This window comes from Homo sapiens, chromosome 17 (genome assembly GCF_000001405.40).
Source record: "Homo sapiens chromosome 17, GRCh38.p14 Primary Assembly".
NCBI lineage: Eukaryota > Metazoa > Chordata > Mammalia > Primates > Hominidae > Homo > Homo sapiens.
Window position 1 is genome coordinate 30,950,746 of NC_000017.11, and position 18,462 is coordinate 30,969,207.

At 47.1% G+C, this 18,462-nt stretch overlaps 2 protein-coding genes and 1 pseudogene across 11 annotated transcripts in view, besides 3 other annotated features; all 3 read left to right on the plus strand.

Moving 5' to 3' along the window:
- The window catches only part of ADAP2 (ArfGAP with dual PH domains 2), a 37,378-nt gene extending 28,801 nt beyond the window's left edge, over positions 1 to 8,577 (plus strand). For 4 of the 9 annotated variants that reach the window (NR_144488.2, NM_001346712.2, NM_018404.3 and 1 more), the window contains 4 exons: positions 2,543 to 2,605; positions 3,733 to 3,810; positions 5,496 to 5,724; positions 7,090 to 8,577. Coding sequence is in view for 8 of the 9 variants with exons in the window: in NM_001346712.2 (NP_001333641.1) it covers positions 2,543 to 2,605; positions 3,733 to 3,810; positions 5,496 to 5,724; positions 7,090 to 7,124 (405 nt within the window). In the remaining variant the exon portion in view is untranslated. The remainder of the gene's footprint in view (positions 1 to 2,542; positions 2,606 to 3,732; positions 3,811 to 5,495; positions 5,725 to 7,089) is intronic. The other 5 variants (XM_024450834.2, NM_001346716.2, XM_024450832.2 and 2 more) reach the window with 3 other exon arrangements.
- Positions 6,469 to 6,518: an enhancer, noted in NCBI's record as "active region_12003". NCBI's record gives its function as "activates an Ori minimal core promoter by ATAC-STARR-seq in GM12878 lymphoblastoid cells {active_cell/tissue: GM12878}" and the evidence as "EXISTENCE:reporter gene assay evidence [ECO:0000049][PMID:35858748]".
- Positions 7,102 to 7,601: an enhancer, noted in NCBI's record as "H3K4me1 hESC enhancer chr17:29284865-29285364 (GRCh37/hg19 assembly coordinates)". NCBI's record gives its function as "activates a minimal SCP1, AML or CMV promoter by ChIP-STARR-seq in naive H9 embryonic stem cells {active_cell/tissue: H9 hESC(naive)}" and the evidence as "EXISTENCE:reporter gene assay evidence [ECO:0000049][PMID:30033119]".
- Positions 8,176 to 18,462, plus strand: part of RNF135 (ring finger protein 135) — a 40,991-nt gene continuing 30,704 nt past the window's right edge. Inside the window, exon 1 of one of the 2 annotated variants that reach the window (XM_047436929.1) lies at positions 8,176 to 8,259. In XM_047436929.1, coding sequence (XP_047292885.1) covers positions 8,209 to 8,259 — 51 coding nt within the window. In that variant the 5' untranslated portion in view covers positions 8,176 to 8,208. Of the gene's footprint in view, positions 8,260 to 18,044; positions 18,105 to 18,462 lie in introns of those variants that run through there. The other variant, XM_024451001.2, reaches the window with a different exon arrangement.
- RN7SL138P (RNA, 7SL, cytoplasmic 138, pseudogene) lies at positions 8,819 to 9,105 on the plus strand (annotated as a pseudogene).
- Positions 9,728 to 9,777: a silencer, noted in NCBI's record as "silent region_8405". NCBI's record gives its function as "represses an Ori minimal core promoter by ATAC-STARR-seq in GM12878 lymphoblastoid cells {active_cell/tissue: GM12878}" and the evidence as "EXISTENCE:reporter gene assay evidence [ECO:0000049][PMID:35858748]".

The following is an 18,462-nucleotide window of genomic DNA, read 5'->3' on the forward strand; positions in this document are numbered from 1 at the left end:
AGGCCCGAGTCAGAGCCCTTGAGTCAGTCTGCTGAGTTTGCACCCAGAACTGGTTAATGCTGGCTCCCATGGGCGGGGAGTGGAGACTGCTGACTGCTGACTATGAGGAGGGAGGACAAAGTGCAGATGCTCAGCCTTATTTAATCTGGGCAAGCTGCCCATCTTTGCTGACATGTGTAAAGGAAATTGCTCTTTGGTCAACATCCTCAATGTTCCCCTGCCTCTCTCATCCACTGTCGGTACCTGATATCCATCCCGTGTCTTTCCTCCCATTTAATGTCTGTGTATGGTGTGAGGTTCTGAGCAATCACCAGGCCTGGCTCAAGCTTTAGGGGTCCACATGTTGGAAACCCAGGGCATCCCAGTGGGGTCTGTGGTCCTGTAATAAATGCATATGGTCTCTTGGACTTCAGAGAAAGTAGGTTTTGTCGCCATGGTGACAGATGAGTGCATCGAGGCTCAGAGAGGTGAGGTGACTTGCCTAGGTGATAGTACCTACTTTCTAGGGCTATTGTGAGACTCCAGCGAGCCAAGGCATCAGAAGTACAGGAAGCAGTGCTCCAGCCATGTGACTTTCCTTTTTTTCCCAATGGTTTCCCTAGGCCTCTGCTTGCTCTGTGCTGGCTCAAATTCCGAATATTGAGCAGTTCGGGACTCCATCTGTTTTCTCCAAATGGAACAATTAAAGCCTAGTGAATGTATTTTAAGAGAAGGGGAGTAGTACAGTTTATATCTTGTTTCTTACATTAAAAATTTTTTTTTAATTTTTTATAGAGATGATGTCTCACTTATGTTGCCCAGGCTGGTCTCGAACTTCTGGCCTCAAGCAATCCTCCTACCTCGGCCTCCCAAAGTGCTGGGATTACAGGTGTGAGCCACTGCATCTGACCAATATTTTCTTTTCTTTTCTTTTTTTTTTTTTTTTTTTGAGACAGAGTCTCGCTCTTTCGCCCAGGCCAGAGTGCAGTGGCGCCATCTTGGCTCACTGCAAGCTCCGCCTCCCAGGTTCACGCCATTCTCCTGCCTCAGCCTCCCGAGTAGCTGGGACTACAGGCGCTCGCCACTGCACCCGGCTACTTTTTTGTATTTTTAGTGGAGACGGGGTTTCACCGTGTTAGCCAGGATGGTCTCGATCTCCTGACCTCGTGATCCACACGCCTCGGCCTCCCAAAGTGCTGGGATTACAGGCGTGAGCCACTGCGCCTGGCCTAATATTTTCATTTTTGGCTCACAAATTTCCCCCTTTTAAACTTCCCATAGCTGTTCCCCAGACCTCACTTCCCCTGTGCCTCTGCCCTGGGCCCTGGAGCTCTGGAGAAGCCTCTCTGTTCTTTGAAGCCTGGACTGTCATTTGAAGCTCTAGACTTTCCAGGTTGATGCCTAGGAGCATAGGAGGCCATCATCAACCCCTGGAAACATCTCTGGGCGTAGGCTGCCAGGCTGGAAGGGATGCTGGGGATCACATGATCCAGGCTGTTTATCACACAGGGGAGACATAAGGCCTCGAGAGACAGAAGGTCTTAACAAAGGTAATGCAGCTGATGGAGGCCAGAACTGGAATTAGAACCAGGTCTCCCGACTTCTGCTTCAGAACTTTCTCTGTCCACTCTGGCATCATTTTCTTTTCTTTTTTGTTTTGTTTTGTTTTGAGATGGAGTCTCCCTCTGTCACCCAGACTGGAGTGCAGTGGCACTATCTCAGCTCACTGCAACCTCTGCCTCCCAAGTTCAAGGGATTCTCTTGCCTCAGCCTCCTGAGTAGCTGGGATTACAAGCGCGTGCCACCATGCCCAGCTAATTTTTATATTTTTGGTAAAGGTGGGGTTTCGCCATGTTGGCCAGGCTAGTCTCAAACTCCTGGCCTCAAGTGATCTGCCTGCCTTGACCTCCCAAAGTGCTGGGATTACAGGTGTGAGCCACTGCACCCAGCCTCTGGCCATTATTTTCTTGTTGCTTGGTGTCAGAATCCTGACCAGGCCTTTCCCAAGGTCCTGCTCAGAGGGCCCTGGCATATTTATACTTTAGCACCTAGTGTAGTGGTAGGAGTACAGTCTAGTGTCATTGGCCCTGGGCCTGAATCTCAGCTCTTTGTGCTACCAGTGATGTGACTTTGGGAAAATCCCCAGCCCCTTCTCTGTGGCCTGGTTTCTTCAGATGTGTAATGAGGCTGGTGATACCCACCTCGCAGGGTGATTGAGAATTGCACCTGGAGCCTGATGCAAAGTGGACCCTCAGAACATGTTGCCTGACACCAAGAGGGTCTCTGCAGAGCCTTGCCTATGTCCACACCCTGGGGTTACTGAAGGAATCCTTAAACCAAAACTCGGCCGTGCCACTAAGCTCTGCAAACATCTGGGGTGCTGTCGACTGGCTTTGTTGAAATATTAATATTATGACCATTGCACTTTCCAAATATAATACTGTGAGCCATGAGCGTACATCCTTCCCCATTTCAAACTTCCCCTTTGTCGGGAGCCAAGCTCGGCGGGAACCTGGAGCCTTGGGGTGTGAGTTGGGGGTCAGTGTCTGTCTCTCTTCCCCAGCTCGTGCCATTCCTCACCAGGAACTACCTCAAACAAGGCTTCATGGAAAAGACTGGGCCAAAGGTACCTTCTATCACTCCCTGGGGAACTTAATATGGTTTAATGTATATAGAAGGTTTCATGTGTTTATGGGATGATTGTTAAGAGGACAGTGAAAGGTGTTAGGCCAAGCTTGTCCAACCCACAGCCCATGGGCCACATGCAACCCAGGACGGCTTGGAATGATGCCCAACAGAAATTCATAAACTTTCTTTTTTAAATTTTTTTGAGACAGAGTCTTGCTCTGTCACCCAGGCCAGAGTACAGTGGTGTGATCTCGGCTCACTGCAACCTCCGCCTCCCAGATTCAAGCGATTCTCCTGCCTCAGACTCCTGAGTAGCTGGGATTACAGGTGCCCACCACCATGCCCGGCTAATTTTTGTAATTTTAGTAGAGATGGGGTTTCACCATGTTGGCCAGGCTGGTCTCGAACTCCTGACCTCAAGCGATCTGCCCACCTCAGCCTCCCAAAGTGCTGGGATTACAGGCATGAGCCACCATGCCCAGCCAAATTCGTGAACTTTCTTAAAACATTATGAGATATTTTTGCGATTTTTTTTTTTTGGCTCATCAGCTATCATTAGTGTTAGTGTATTTTATGTGTGGCCCAAGACAATTCTTCCAATGTGGCCCAGGGAAGGCAAGAGATTGGATATTCCTGTGTTAGGCAATCATGAAAGCAAGCCTTGGGCAGGTGGAAAAAGCAGTCAAAGGGTTGTTTTCAGAGAGGCGCAGCCCCTCCGCCTGGTTCTTGTTGCTGGGCTTTCTCTCCCTGACCTAGGTTAGAATTTGGCCAAGGCCAGCACTTTCAGCCTTGCCAAGCAGTAGCCACTTCTGATTTTTTCCAACTTCCTTTCCGGCTTCTTTGTCTACAGCCTGAAAAAGAGGAAGGTGCCTCTTCCAAGTTGAGGCAGCAGGGTGAAGCTGGCAAAGGGTATGGTGGGGTTGGAAGGGGAATGGGCAGAACCTTCAGAGCCTGAGGGCTCCTATCCAGGCCCCAGGGAGAAGCACTAGGATGTCTGACTGAGGAGGCTGGGCTGGAGAACCAGTGGGACTGGCCAGCTCCTTTGGTTTGGGCTGGGCTGGCCCCTGACCTCTATCCTCAGAAACTGACCTGGTCATCTGTGGTAAGAAGTTCCCTCTTTTGCAGCAGAAAGAACCTTTCAAGAAAAGGTGGTTCGCCCTGGATTGCCATGAGCGGAGGCTGCTCTATTACAAGAACCCACTGGTAAGAGCCACTCCTGCTCCCTCCCCAGGGCTTCCTCAAACATTGCTGGGTGGTGCTTGTCTGGAACTATGTGAAAGCTACAGATAAACACATCTCCCAGAGCCCCAGAGCTAGAGAAACCTTGAGAGGAAAACCTCTACCCCTTGTTTTTGTTTCTCTTGAGTAATCTCCTATGGCATGAAGCTTCTCCTCGCTTTCAGGAAGTCTATTATGAGTATCCAAAATGCTGCCCATGGTAGTTAAATATGGTGTATCTCTTCCTCTAGTCTCCAGGGCTCACTTCTAACCAAGAGGCCGTGATGTGTAGTAGTTAGGAGTGTGGTGGACTCTAGAACCCCACCGTCTGGGCTCTGGTCTCAGCCCTGCCACTTGTAGTAGTGTTGCCTTGAGCCGTGTACTTAGTGCTCTGTGCCTCGGTTTCCTCCTCTGAAAAACAGGCTTAATAAGAATGCCTTCCCCAGAGGTTGCCATGATGGTTATTTAAGTTACTATATATAAAGCATTGTAATTCCTGATGCTGATTTTAATAAGTGCTCCGTAAATGTTAGGTATCACTTATTTTTTTTTTTTTAGAGACAGAGTCTCTCTCTGTCACCCAGGCTGGAATGCAGTGGCACAATCACAGCTCATTGCAACCTTGAACTTCTGGGCCCAAGTTATCTTCCTGCCTCAGCCTCCTAAGTAGCTCAGAATACAGGCATGCATCACCATGCCCAGCTAATTAAAAAAAAAAAATTTAGGGCTGGATGTGCTGCCTTTTGTCTGTAATCCCAGCACTTTGGGAGGCTGAGACAGGAGGATCGCTTGAGCCCAGAAGTTCGAGACCAGCCTGTGCAACATAGTGAGATCCCATCTCTACAAGAAACTTAAGGCCAGGCACGGTGGCTCACATCTGTAAACCCAGCATTTTGGAAGGCTGAGGCGGGGCAGATCACGAGCTCAGGAGTTCGAGACTAGCCTAACCAACATGGTGAAACCCTGTCTCTACTAAAAATACAAAAATTAGCCGGACGTGGTGGTGCGTGCCTGTAAGCCCAGCTACTCAGGAGGCTGAGGCAGGAGAATCGCTTGAAACCGGGAGGCAGAGGGTGCAGAGGGTGCATGCCATTGCACTCCAGCCTGGGTGCAGAGTGAGACTCCGTCTCAAAAAAAAAAAAAGAAAGAAAAAAAAAGAAACTTAAAAATTAGTCAGGTGTGGTGGTGCATGCCTGTAGTCCTAGCTGCTTGGGAGGCTGAGGTGGGAGGATTGCCTGAGCCTGGGAGGTTGAGGCTGGGATGAGCCATGATTGTGCCACTGCACTTCCAGCCTGGGTGACAGAGTGAGGCCCTGTCTCCAAAAACAATTCATAATAATAATTAATAATTTTTTTTTGTAGAGAAGGGGTCTCACTATGTTGTCCCGGTTGGTCTCATATTCCTGGCCTCAGGCAATCCTCTGCCTTGGCTTCCCAAAGTGCTAGGATTACAGGCATGAACTACCAGGCCCACCCTCGGTATCTTTTCAATAGATGATGTGTATGATTTATTTTAGGGTTTTGATCTTTCAAATTCTGGGTCCCACTTAGCAGAAATCCCAGCAGGGACCTCATACCCCTTTCCCAAAATAAAGCTTGGAGGCTGTCAGGGCTGCAGGGCCCCTCTGCCCTGGGGGCACCCTCTGATGACCCTGTACTCTCCATTTTCAGGATGCCTTCGAGCAGGGCCAGGTTTTTCTTGGGAACAAGGAGCAGGGATATGAAGCCTACGAAGACCTGCCCAAGGGCATCCGAGGAAATCGCTGGAAAGCCGGACTCACCATTGTCACCCCAGAGCGGAGATTTGTCCTCACTTGCCCCAGTGAGAAGGAACAGCAGGAATGGCTGGAAAGTTTGCGGGGTGTCCTGTCCAGCCCCTTGACGCCCCTCAACCGGCTTAGTAAGAAGCAGGAACTGAGGGGTGTTCTTTTGGACAAGGGCAGAGGACAGAAAATTGCTTCTTCACTTAGGTTCAGCTTTGATACCACAAAAGATTCCTGATTCCTGACTATGCTCTTTTCATTGTCTTCTCTTCCTGCAAAAGAAAAGCACAGACATGCCATTATTGCCAAAAGGTCTCCTCTGTCCACTCTGGGTTCCCCTAACCGAGCCCTTCCCCAGGAGCTTTTAGAGGAGTTTGGCCCTGGCAGAACCCCTGGGTGCTGTCTGTACCCCTTGCGGTGTGGGGGCTAAGCAGCTTCTCTTTCCCTCCACCGTGCTCTATGCTGATCCTTTTTCTCGTGAGAAAACGCTGGCCTGTTATTATTAGCTAAGGTCACACCCGCTGGGCAGCTCCTGGGATTTTTGGATTCCTCCCCACTCCAGAGGGAAGGCTATTTCTAGTGGCTTCTTTTCTTTGAGTCCTCCCTTCTGTCTGCCTCTCTCCTGTTCCTCCTCTTTACCAGTAGGGCTTCCTCAATGCTGACAGCCCTGTGAAAAAAGGGGAGACATGCCGAGCTCCGGCAGGAAACTGCTGGCCCAGGACCTGGCTTCTGGGGCACAAAGGAGAATTTCTGTGTTTGGAAAAGTACAGACTGAGCAGGTGACCCCCGCACAGCCCCTTGGGGGAAACACTTGTGCCCTTTGAGTCTGACTGATATAAACACAGACTCTCTTGACTGTCCCATAAAGGCCAAAGCCAGAGAACCTCAGAAAGGGACTTGCAAATTGTGAGTGAGGCATATCAGCTGGTGCTTTCTTTTCTCTGTGGGCTGCCATTTATGAATCTCTTGGTTTCTCTCTGTCTCTGTCCCTCCACTTTTCTCTCCTTTGCTGGTGTGTGCATTCCCTCTGACGCCCTGGCTCTCACTCTTTCATTCTGTTTTTTATTCTGGCTCCCTCTGTCTTTGTGTTTTTTTTTTTAATTTTCTTTTTTTGAGGTGGGGTCTTGCACTGTCACCCAGGCTGGAGTGCAGTGGTGCGATCTCAGCTCACTGCAACCTCTTCTTCCTGGGCTCAGGCAATCCTCTCACCTCAGCCTCCCAAGTAGCTGGGACTACAGGCTCGTGACACCACATCTAGCTAATTTGTTTTGTATTTTTGGTAGAGACAGAGTTTCACCATGTTGCTCAGGCTGGTCTCGAACTCCTGAGCTCAAGTGATCCACCTGCCTCGGCCTCCCAAAGTGCTGGGATTACAGGCATGAGCCACTGTGCCCGGCCATGGCTCCCTCTGTCTTTGTACGCCTGTCCCTTTGCTGTCCCTCTCCTCCACAGGACAGCATTGGCATGGCCACCTCCCTCAGCCCTCTTCATTTCCCTTGCAGCTGCATCAACAGAGAGTGGCCGCAGCAGCAGGTGACCCATTAACTGAGGAACTGGCTGCCACTGAACACCTGGAACTCCTTGTGGGAAGAAGTTTGCACCTCGGCCCTGGCTGCCCACCATCAGTGCCCCGCAGTCAGCAGCCATTCCTGGCAGTGAACTCTGCCAGGACTGAAGCTGTGGCTTTATCCATCAGCTCCCTGGGCCTTCCCCGCAACCCACCTCGGGGATCTGAGGATCTGGTGCATAGATGAACATCTATCCCCTCCTCCCCCATACACACCTAGGCTTGAAATGCCCTACAGGCCCAGAACTTTCTCACATCTGAAATGGAGGCATTGCAATGAAAAGGCACCCACAGCATCATGCAAGTGGCATCTTGTAAAAAAAAAAAAAAAGTTTAATCTGAATCTAACCATGAGGAAATAATCAGACAAATCCACATTAGGGGCATTCTGCTAAACATCTGACCCAGACTCTTCAAAAATGAAGAGTGAAAGATAAAGTAGTCAATGGCCGGGCGCAGTGAGATTGCGCCATTGCATTCCAGCCTGGGTGACAGAGCGAGACTCCGTATCAGAAAGAAAAAGAGGAACTGAATGAAATCTCAGATGGCTGAAATGTTAGAGAAACAGAGCACCAAGTCCCCTGCTCTGTGACTCGTTGTTCCTTTCCTCTGTCTTCAAGCACCACGCAGAAATACACTGGATGTTCTCTCTTTGCTTCAATGGAGACCCAAGGAGCTGGGAGGTCTCTTAAGAGACTCTCTGATTCTCCGTGGCTGGGTGTGATGGCTCATGCCCATAATCCCAGCCCTTTGGGAAGCTGAGGCAGGAGGATTGAGACCAGGAGTTCGAGAAGAGCCTGGGCAACATAGTGAGACCCCATCTCTACAAAGAAAAAAAAATTAGCTGGACATGGTAATGAATGCCTGTAGTCCCAGCTACTCCGGACACTGATGTGAGAGGATCACTTGAGCCAGGGAGGTCATGGCTACAGTGACCCCTCATTGCACCACTTTACTTAGCCTGGGTGACAGAGTGAGACCCTATCTCAAAAAAAAAAAAAATCTATGCATTGTATGGGACTTTCCTTTGGATCCCCCAATCAAAGGATAAGCAATGCGTAAGCCTGTGTCCTTCCTGAAGCTTCTCGACTGCCCAGATAGGGAGGTGAGTCCTCTCTATCTCCTCTGGCTCTGGAAGCACCTTGAAAATGTGCATTTTCAAGGACACTTGCTGGGTTGTGCATTAAGGGCCAGTTTACTTGTCTGCCTCTTTGACCACCTGTGAACTCTGTTGGGTGTACTCTGCTAAGTTCTGGGGATGAGGAAATTAATAAAGGTACAGTCTTGCCTTCAAGGAACTTATGGTCTAGAGGAGAAGAACGAGAAGTATAGATAGGCAGTAACAAAGCTACTTGAAGAGGCCAACTGGGATTCTAAGGGTGGGAAAGAACAGACACAAGAGATAAAGTCCTAATGAAATGGAGTGCTTGGTTTTGGATGATTCCTTCCTCAAGGAAGAGTATGCTTCTATACTCTTATATTAAATCCCTTTTTCCCTTTTTGGCTTGTTAGTGCAAGGAAGTTTCTATTACTTGAATCAGTCCTGACAGATAAAGTTCTCTAAAAGAGATGATACCTATGCTGAATCCTGAAGAAAGAGTAGAAGATAGTTGGGTTGGGGTGGGAGGAGGCAGAGAAAGAAGCATGTGTAAAGGCTCAGAGATATCAGGTGTGCACGTGCCTGTAGTCCTAGCTACTGGGGAGGGTGAGGTGGGAAGATCATTTGAGCCCAGGAGTTCTGGGCTTTAGTGCACAATGCTAATTGGGTGTCCACACTAAATTTGGCATCAACATGGTGACCTCCCAGGAGTGAGGAATCACCAGTTTGCCTAAGGAGGGGTGAACTGGCCCAGATCAGAAATGAAGCACTTCCGTGCTGGTCAGTAGAGGGATCATGCCTGTGAACAGCCATTGCACTGCAGCCTGGGCGACAAGAGGGAAACTCCGTCTAAAAAAAGAAAATAGCTAGGCATGGGCACTGTAATGCATGCCTGTAGTCCCAGCTACTCAGGAGGCAGAGGTGGGAGGCTTGCTTGGGCCTGGGGGGTTATGCACTCCAGCCTGGGTGACAGAGTGAGACTCCGTCTCCAAAAAAAAAAAAAAGAAAAAGAAAAGAAAATTTGAATCACACTTCACTTGTATTAGCGTTCTCCAGAGAAACAGAACCAATGATATACATATATATATATATGGCTATAGAAAGAAATTTATTGGCCGGGCACGGTGGCTCACGCCTATAATCCTAGCACTTTGGGAGGCCGAGGCAGGCAGATCATGAGGTCAGGAGATCAAGACCATCCTGGCCAACATGGTGAAACCCCGTCTCTACTAAAAATACAAAAATTAGCTGACTGTGGTGGCACGTGCCTGTAGTCCCAGCTACTCAGGAAGCTGAGGCAGGAGAATCGCTTGAACCCGGCAGGCGGAGGTTGCAGTGAACCAAGATTGCGCCACTGCACTCCAGCCTGGCGACAGAGTGAGACTCCGTCTCAAAAAAAGAAAAAGAAAAAGAAAAAAAAAAAAGCCAGGCATGGTGGCATGTGCCTGTAGTCCCAGCTACTCAAGGCTGAACTCCCACTTAAGCCTGAGATTTCAAGACTGCAGTGAGCTATGGTCTCACCACTGCACTCCAGCCTGGGTGACAGAGTGAGACTCTGCTTCAGCAAAGAACAGTTATGTCACACCCCAAAACTCCCTTGTAGCCACACCCTTCCCCTGCCCCGTGGCAACCATTGATCCGTTCATCATTATAGATTGTACTTTCAAAAATGCCATATAAATGGAATCATTTAATATGTAATTTTTATTTTATTTTATTTTATTTTATTTTATTTATTTTATTTTATTTTTTTTTTTTTGAGACAGAGTCTTGCTCTGTCGCCCAGGCTGGAGTGCAGTGGCGCAATCTCGGCTCGCTGCAAGCTCCGCCTCCCGGGTTCACGCCATTCTCCTGCCTCAGCCTCCCGAGTAGCTGGGACTACAGGCGCCCGCCACTATGCCTGGCTAATTTTTTGTATTTTTAGTAGAGACAGGGTTTCATCATGTTAGCCAGGAGGGTCTCGATCTCCCAACCTCGTGATCCACCTGCCTCGGCCTCCCAAAGTGCTGGGATTACAGGCATGAGCCACCACGCCAGGCCTGTAATTTTTAAAGACTGGATTCTTTCACAGCACATGATACCTTTGAGATTCATCAAAGTCACTGCATGTGTCAATATGTCTTTCCTTATTGCTAAGAAGTATTCCACTATATGGCTATACCATACCTTGTTTATCCAGTGGAATGCTGCTTAGCAATAAAAAGGAACAAATTATTCATACATACAACAGTCCCCAGGTATGGGGCTTCTGGTTCATACTGATGCAGGGTAGGTAGTCAAGGAAGTAACCAGGGTCTCAGGACACAGCAATCATGCTGACCATTCAGTCAACACAATAAGCCTCAGCATTCACAATGCAACTGAGCTAATTCAAGCAAAGCTATCTGCAGTAGGGAATTTCCCATGTAGACAGCATGCAAACTTTGCGGTTCACCTCCCCTCCCCTCCTCTCCCCTCTCCTCTCCTGTCCTTTCCTTTTTCTGAGATGGAGTCTTGCTCTGTCACCCAGGCTGGAGTGCAGTGGTGTCATCCCGGCTCACTACAACCTCTGCCTCCCAGGTTCAAGCAATTCTTCTGCCTCAGCCTCCTGAGTAGCTGGGACCACAGGCACATGCCACCATGCCCAGCTAATTTTTGTATTTTTCTGTAGAGATGGGATTTCATTATGTTGGCCAGGCTGCTCTCAAACTCCCGACCTCAGGTGATCCACCCACCTCAGCCTCCCAAAATGCTGGGATTACATGCGTGAGCCACCGCGCCCGGCCCTGACAGCATGCACACTTTGATTTTACCTGGTCTCAAACTGACCCTTTGCTTATTTTAATAGTAAAAAATACACCCCTGGGTGGAAATTTAAGATGGTAATGAGACATGTGGTGTATGAACAAGCATGTAAACTACTGTGCATGTGCACCCAGAAGACCACCCAGAACATGCTTACTAGTAACTCCTCTTTCCACTTCCTTATGAATAATCACATAAGACTCCCATAAAGGGAGTCTCCTTAGTGCCAGTTTTTGCTGTCTCATCCTTAAATGAGCAGCCTACCCTGAATCCTCTCTCTGAGTGTGCTGCCCATTCTGCACTTAATTTTCAAAATCCTCTTTCTCCTTTACAATAAATAACTCTATGCTGCACTTTTTTTTTTTTCCCGAGATGGAGTCTCTCTGTGTCGCCAGGCTGGAGTGCAGTAGAGTGATCTTGGCTCACTGAAACCTCTGACTCCCTGGTTCAAGCAATTCTCCTGCCTCTGCCTCCCAAGTAGCTGGGATTACAGGCATGCACCATCACATCCAGCTAATTTTTGGTATTTTTAGTAGATATGAGGTTTCACCATGTTGGCCAGGATGGTCTTGAATTCTTGACCTCATGATCCACCCACTTCGGCCTCCCAAAGTGCTGGGATTACAGGCATGAGCCACCGCGCCTGGCCTATGCTGCACTTCTTTTGCTGTGTGTCTCTTGTTTACATTTTTGTTTTTTTTGAGATGGAGTCTCGCTCTGTTGCCCAGGCTGGAGTGCAGTGGCACGATCTCGGCTCACTGCAAGCTCCGCCTCTTGGGTTCATGCCATTCTCCTGCCTCAGCCTCCCGAGTAGCTGGGACACAGGCGCCTGCTACCACGCCCGGCTACTTTTTTGTATTTTTAGTAGAGGTGGGGTTTCACCACGTTACCCAGGATGGTCTCAATCTCCAGAATTCGTGATCTGCCTGCCTGGGCCTCCCAAAGTGCTGGGATTACAGGCATGAGCCACCGTGTCCGGCCTAAATTCTTTTAAACTAAGAAGACAAGAACCAGGGTATCACAATAGCCATCAACATTTGGTTAGATATATGCTTAATTTTATAACAAACTTTCCCGGTGGCTGTACTACTTGACATTTCACTAGTGATGTATGAGAGTTCCAGTTACTCTATCACCAACAGTTGGTGTTGTCAGTATTTTTTATTTTAACTGTTCTGATAGGTATGGAGTGGTATTTTATTATGGTTCTAATACGCATTTCCCTAGCGGTTGACAATGTCGAAGTCCTATTATGTACTTATTGGCCAATCTTATATCTTCTTTGATGAAGTGACCATTTGATTCCCTAGCTTTTTTTTTTTTTTTTTTTTTTGAGATCTGGTCTTGCTATGTTGCCCAGGTTGGAGCACAGTGGCTATTCACAGATATGACCATGGCATACTACATCCACAGACCCCTCACCTCAAGAGATCCTTCTGCCTCAGCCTCCTGAGTAGCTGGAACTACAGGCATGTGACACAGTGCCCTGCTTGCCTTTTTAAAATATTGGGTGGTTTGGGCTGGGCACAGTGGCTCACACCTGTAATCCCAGCACTTTGGGAGGCTGAGGTGGGCAGATCACGACGTCAGGAGATCGAGACCATCCTGGCTAACACGGTGAAACCCTGTCTCTACTAAAAATACAACAAATTAGCCGGGTGTGGTTGTAGTCCCAGCTACTCGGGAGGCTGAAGCAGGAGAATGGCGTGAACCCGGGAGGTGGAGGTTGCAGTGAGCCGAGATCGCACCACTGCACACTCCAGCCTGGGTGACAGAGTGAGACTCTGTCTCAAGAAAAAAAAAATTGGGTGGTTTGCTTTTTCTACTGTTGAATTTTGAGAGTTCTTCATATATTCTGGATACTAGGAATACAGACTTGGATTTGTAAATATTTTCTTCCAGTCCATAGTTTTTCATTCTGTAAGAGTGTCAGTGAAGGCTTCTTTAATCAAGGTATTAAGGTTAGGGTTCATGACTTTCTTCGTTTTTTGCTGACTTTTGTTGCTGACAAAGTTTGGCATTAATAATGGGGTGAGAAAAAAATGGGGTGAGGCCAGATGTGATGGCTCATGTCTATAATCCCAGCACTTTGGAGGCCAAGAAGGGAGGATCACTTGAGGCCAGGAGTTTGAGACCAGCCTGGACAGCATAGCGTTCAAGATCTTCTCTACCAAAAAAGTTTTTAAGCAGTGTTTTGGCTTATGTTTGGGCATTTGAATCATTTATTATGAAGTGGAGTGGAAGTAAGAATAATGGAAATTTAATGATCTCTTCCGTCCCTTGACAAAAAGTGCTTTGTCCCTGAAAGAATTTAGCAAAAACAGGCTGGGCTCGGTGGCTCACGCCTGTAATCCTAGCACTTTGGGAGGCTGAGGCAGGCGGATCACCTGAGGTCAGGAATTTGAGACCAGCCTGGCCAACATGGTGAAACCCCGTCTCTACTTAAAACACAAAAAATTAGCTGGGCGTGGTGGTATGCACCTGTAATCCCAGCTACTTGGGAGGCTGAGGCAGGAGAATCGCTTGAACCCGGGAGGCAAATGTTGCAGTGAGCCGAGATCGTGCCATTGCACTCCAGCCTGGAGGACAAGAGTGAGACTTCATCTCAAAAAAAAAAAAAAAAAAAAAAAAGAATTTAGTAAAAACAAAGAAAAGAAACTGATAGGACATGTTAGGCCGAGCGTGGTGGTTCATGCCTGTAATCCCAGCACTTTGGAAGGCTGAGGCATGAGAACCGCCTAAACCCAAGAGGCGGAGTTTGCAGTGAGGCAAGATTGCGCCAGTGCACTCCAGCCTGGGCAACAGAGGGAGACTCTGTCTCAAAACAAACAAACAAAAACATGTTAATGGCAGTGTGCCTTATTTCATCCAGCACACAAACTCAAGCACCTCATCATTTCTTATCTTTTTTTTTTTTTTTTAGATGGAGTCTTGCTCTGTTGCCCAGGCTCGAGTACAGTGGTGCAATCTCGGCTCACTGCAACCTCCACCTCCTAGGTTCAAGCCATTCTCCTCCTCAGCCTCCCAAGTAGCTGGGATTACAGGTGTGTGCCACCGCACCGGGCTAATTTTTGTATTTTTAGTAGAGATGAGGTTTCACCATGTTGGCCAGGCTGGTCTTGAACTCCTGGCCTCAGGTGATCCGTCCTCCTCGGCCTCTCAAAATGCTGGGATTACAAGCATGAGGCATTGCTCCTGGCTCTGATTTTTTAAATCTAATTTAGCATTAGAACCTAGTGTCACAGGGATGGGTGTTAACACATGTACTTGAATAGAAAAATTTCAGGGCTGGACGTGGTGACTCATGCTGTAATCCCAGCACTTTGGGAGGCTGAGATGGGAGAATTGCTTGAGTCTGAGAGTTTGAGATCAGCCTGGGCAACACGGTAAAACCTGGCCTCTATAAAAAATACAATAACAGGGCATGGTGGCATGTGCTTGTAGTCCCAGCTATTTGTGGGACTGAAGCGATGGCTTGAGCCTGGGAGCTCCAGGCTGCAGTGAGCAGAGATCACACCACTGCATTCCAGCCTGGGCAACAAAGACCCTGTCTCAAAAAACAAAACAAACAAACAAAAAAACCCAAAAATGTATATATATATGTATACATATATGTATGTGTGTATATATATTTCAAATACATAACATAAAAGCACCTTTCCAAAAAATATTAGATTGACAATGGTGTATTAAAATAAACAATATTCTAATTTTCCCAGTCCTTTCTGAGTATATCAGTAAACAAGCTGTCTCTAAGTTAAAGTGTAATTGCTTTTAATTGATAGTCATTTGCTAAACCTTGGCAAAGTCTTTTTGGCATACTGTAATCACCCAACGGGTTCTTCCTGCCCACTGCACAGGCAAAACAGTAAAGAAAGAGTTTAATTAACATTAAGGTGAGGTTGGCCATGTGGGAGAAGTGGAATTATCAGTCAAATCAGTCTCCCCAAAGGCTGGAGGTTATGGTTTTTCAGTTTGGTGGGCAGGGGACTAGGGGATGGATGCTGCTGATTGGTTGGGGATGCAGTCATTACGGGTGTGGAAAATCGTCCTCATGAACTGAGTCCACCTCTGGTTGAGGCCACATGGCCAACTGAGTCACAAGTCACCAGTCCTGGTGGCGTAAGTCTGGAAAACATCTCCACCAATCTTAGATTCTACAATAGTGATGTTATCTATAGGAGCAATTGAAGAAGCCACAAATCTTGTGACTTCTGGCTACATAACTCCTGAAGGTAAGGGATTATAGAAATTGTGTCAACATCTCAGCAGAATTCAGGCCCCTCCCATAAACTTAATTTTGTGGCCTTTCAATGGTTTTACAAAGGTGGTTTCAGCCCCCTGAATAAGGAAAGGATTAGTTTTAGGGAGGGACTATTATCATCCTGGCTTCTAATTTAAACTATAAACTAAATTCCTTCCACGGTTAGCTTGGCCTACCCCAGGAATGAGCGAAGACAGCCAGCCTGTGAGGCTAGCAGCAAGATGGAGTCAGCCACGTTACAATAACACCCAGAAAATGAGAAAGTGAATACTTCTTTTTTTATTTGATCTTTTTTAATTTATTTTTATTTTATTTATTTATTTATTTAATTTTTAAGTTTTATTTTATTATTTTTTTATTTTATTTTATTTTTTTATTTATTTTTATGTATTTATTTATTTATTTTTAAAGTGAATACTTCTAACGACTTTTGTAACACAAGTGTTTCAAATTCTTTTTTTTGTTTTTGAGATGGAGTCTCGCTGTCGCCCAGGCTGGAGTGCAGTGGCGCGATCTTGGCTCACTGCAGGCTCTGCCTCCCAGGGTTCACACCATTCTCCTGCCTCAGCCTCCCGAGTAGCTGAGACTACAGGCGCCCGCCACCGTGCCTGGCTAATTTTTTTTTTTTTTTTGTATTTTTAGTAGAGACGCGGTTTCACCGTGTTTGCCAGGATGGTCTTGATCTCTTGACCTCGTGATCCACACGCCTCGGCCTCCCAAAGTGCTGGGATTACAGGTGTGAGCCACCGCGCCCGACCTCAAATTCTTGCTTTCAACAAAAATTAAAGAAAAATCAAATCAAGTTGTTAATTGAGAGATTATCACTATATGACTTTTTTGCATATATCTCAAAAAGTATTCAACAAAATGAGTGACAATTTTGTCATCTATTTATACATGTGAACAAGATTTCTCGGCACACATAAAAACATAAAAGAAATAGAATTTATTGCAAAAGTTTGTCTATCATTAAGTAATGTTCATTCATAGATAAATGCTTCTTTTTTTGACAGAGTCTTGCTCTGTTGCCCAGACTGGAGTGCAGTGGTGCCATTTCAGCTCACTACAACCTCCGTCTCCTAAGTTCAAGCAATTCTCCTGCCTCGGCCTCTGGAGTAGCTGGGACCTCAGGCCACCATGCCCAGCTAATTTTTGTATTTTTTGGTAGAGGCAGGGTTTCACCAGGTTGGCCAGGCTGGTTTCAAACTCCTGACCTCAAGTGTTCCGCTCACCTTGGCCTCTCAAAGTGCTGGGATTACAGATGTGAGCCACCGTGCCTGGGCATAAATGCATTTTTGAAAGAAATGAGCCCATCTGTCTTATTAATAGCTATCATTCCAATAAAATGTTTACTGTCTTTAAAAGTTATTTTATTTATATAAAAGTTATAAATTGCAGCATACTTTTCTTTTGTTTGACTGCTAATAGTAATTATATTGATAATTAAATCCAGGGGAAAAAATTTACCAAGAGCCTTTTTGTCACAGGAAGTTAAGAAGAATTAAAAATTTAATACACATACATACTTTTGTTGTAGAGAAGTATTACAAAGTGATAAAAGACTTTCATGCATGAAATATATTGCTTTGGAATGTAATTCTGTGGAGGAAATGGAATGGAAATACAAGTTCAGAAAGATAAAAGAATGACAAAATTTCTTTTTTTTTTTTTTTGAGACGGAGTCTTGCCCTGTTGCCGAGGCTGGAGTGCAATGGTGCCATCTTGGCTCATGGCAACCTTCACCTCCCGGGTTCAAATGATTCTCTTGCCTCAGCCTCCTGAGTAGCTGGGATTACAGGTGCCTGCAACTACGCCCAGCTAATTTTTTTTTGTATTTTTCGAACTCCTGACCTCATGATCCGCCTGCCTCGGCCTCCCAAAGTCCTGGGATTACAGGCATGAGCCACCGCACTCGGCCAAGAATGACAAAATGTCTGATGTAGGCTGAGCGCGGTGGCTCACCTCTGTAATCCTAGCACTTGGGAGGATGAGGTGGGCGGATCACCTGAGGTCAGGAGTTCGAGACAAGCCTGGCCAACATGGAGAAACCCTGTCAACATGGGGAAACCCCATCTCTACTAAAAATACAAAATTAGCCGGGCATGGTGGCGAGCGCCTGTAATCTCAGCTACTCCGGAGGCTGAGGCAGGAGAATGGTTTGAACCCGGGAGGTGGAGGTTGCAGTGAGACGAGATTGTGCCACTCCACTCCACTCCAGCCTGGGCAACAAAGTGAGACTCCATCTCAAAAAAAAAAAAAATCTGATATAAATGAAGAATTTGCTAATATATTTTTACTACCAGAGCTGACCACTCTCCCCCTTCCCCCTTTCTTTCTTTCTTTTTTTTTTTTCTTTTGAGACAGAGTCTTGCTCTGTCGCCCAGGCTGGAGTGCAGTGGTGCGAACTCAGCTCACTGCAAGCTCCGCCTCCTGGGTTCAGGTCATTCTCCTCCCTCAGCCTCCTGAGTAGCTGGGACTACAGGCTCCCGCCGTCACGCCCGGCTAATTTTTTTTGTATTTTTTAGTAGAGACGGGGTTTCACCGTGTTAGCCAGAATGGTCTCAATCTCCTGACCTCATGATCCGCCCGCCTCAGCCTCCCAAAGTGCTGGGATTACAGGCGTGAGCCACTGCGCCCGGCCCCCACTTCCCCCTTTCTTATAACCACTGCATGATTTTGCATAAAACTTTTAGGGCGTGTCCAAGAAAAAAGTTTGAAAACTACTGGTTAACTCACTCTTTCCAGAAACTTGGCTGTGAAATGGAGAAGAGGAGAGCTGGTTCCAGGGAGGCTCAGGTCAAAGGTGATTTTATTTTATTTTTTAATTTTTAATTTTTTTGAGACTAGGTCTAGCTCCTTCCCCAGGCTGGAGTGAAGTGGTGTGATCACAGCTAACCACAGTCTTGACCTCCTGAGATCTCATGGCTCATTACAGCCTCCACCTCCCTGGCTCAAGCAATCCTCCCACCTCAGTCTCCTGAGTAGCTGGGATCACAGGCCTGCGCTACCATGTCTAGGTAGTTTTTGTATTTTTTTTGTAGAGGCAAGGTTTCACCATGTTGCTCAGGCAGGTCTCGAACTCCTGAGTTCAGGCAATCCACCTGCCTCAGCCTCCCAAAGTGCTGAGATTACAGGCATAAGCCACCACGCCCCGCCAGTGA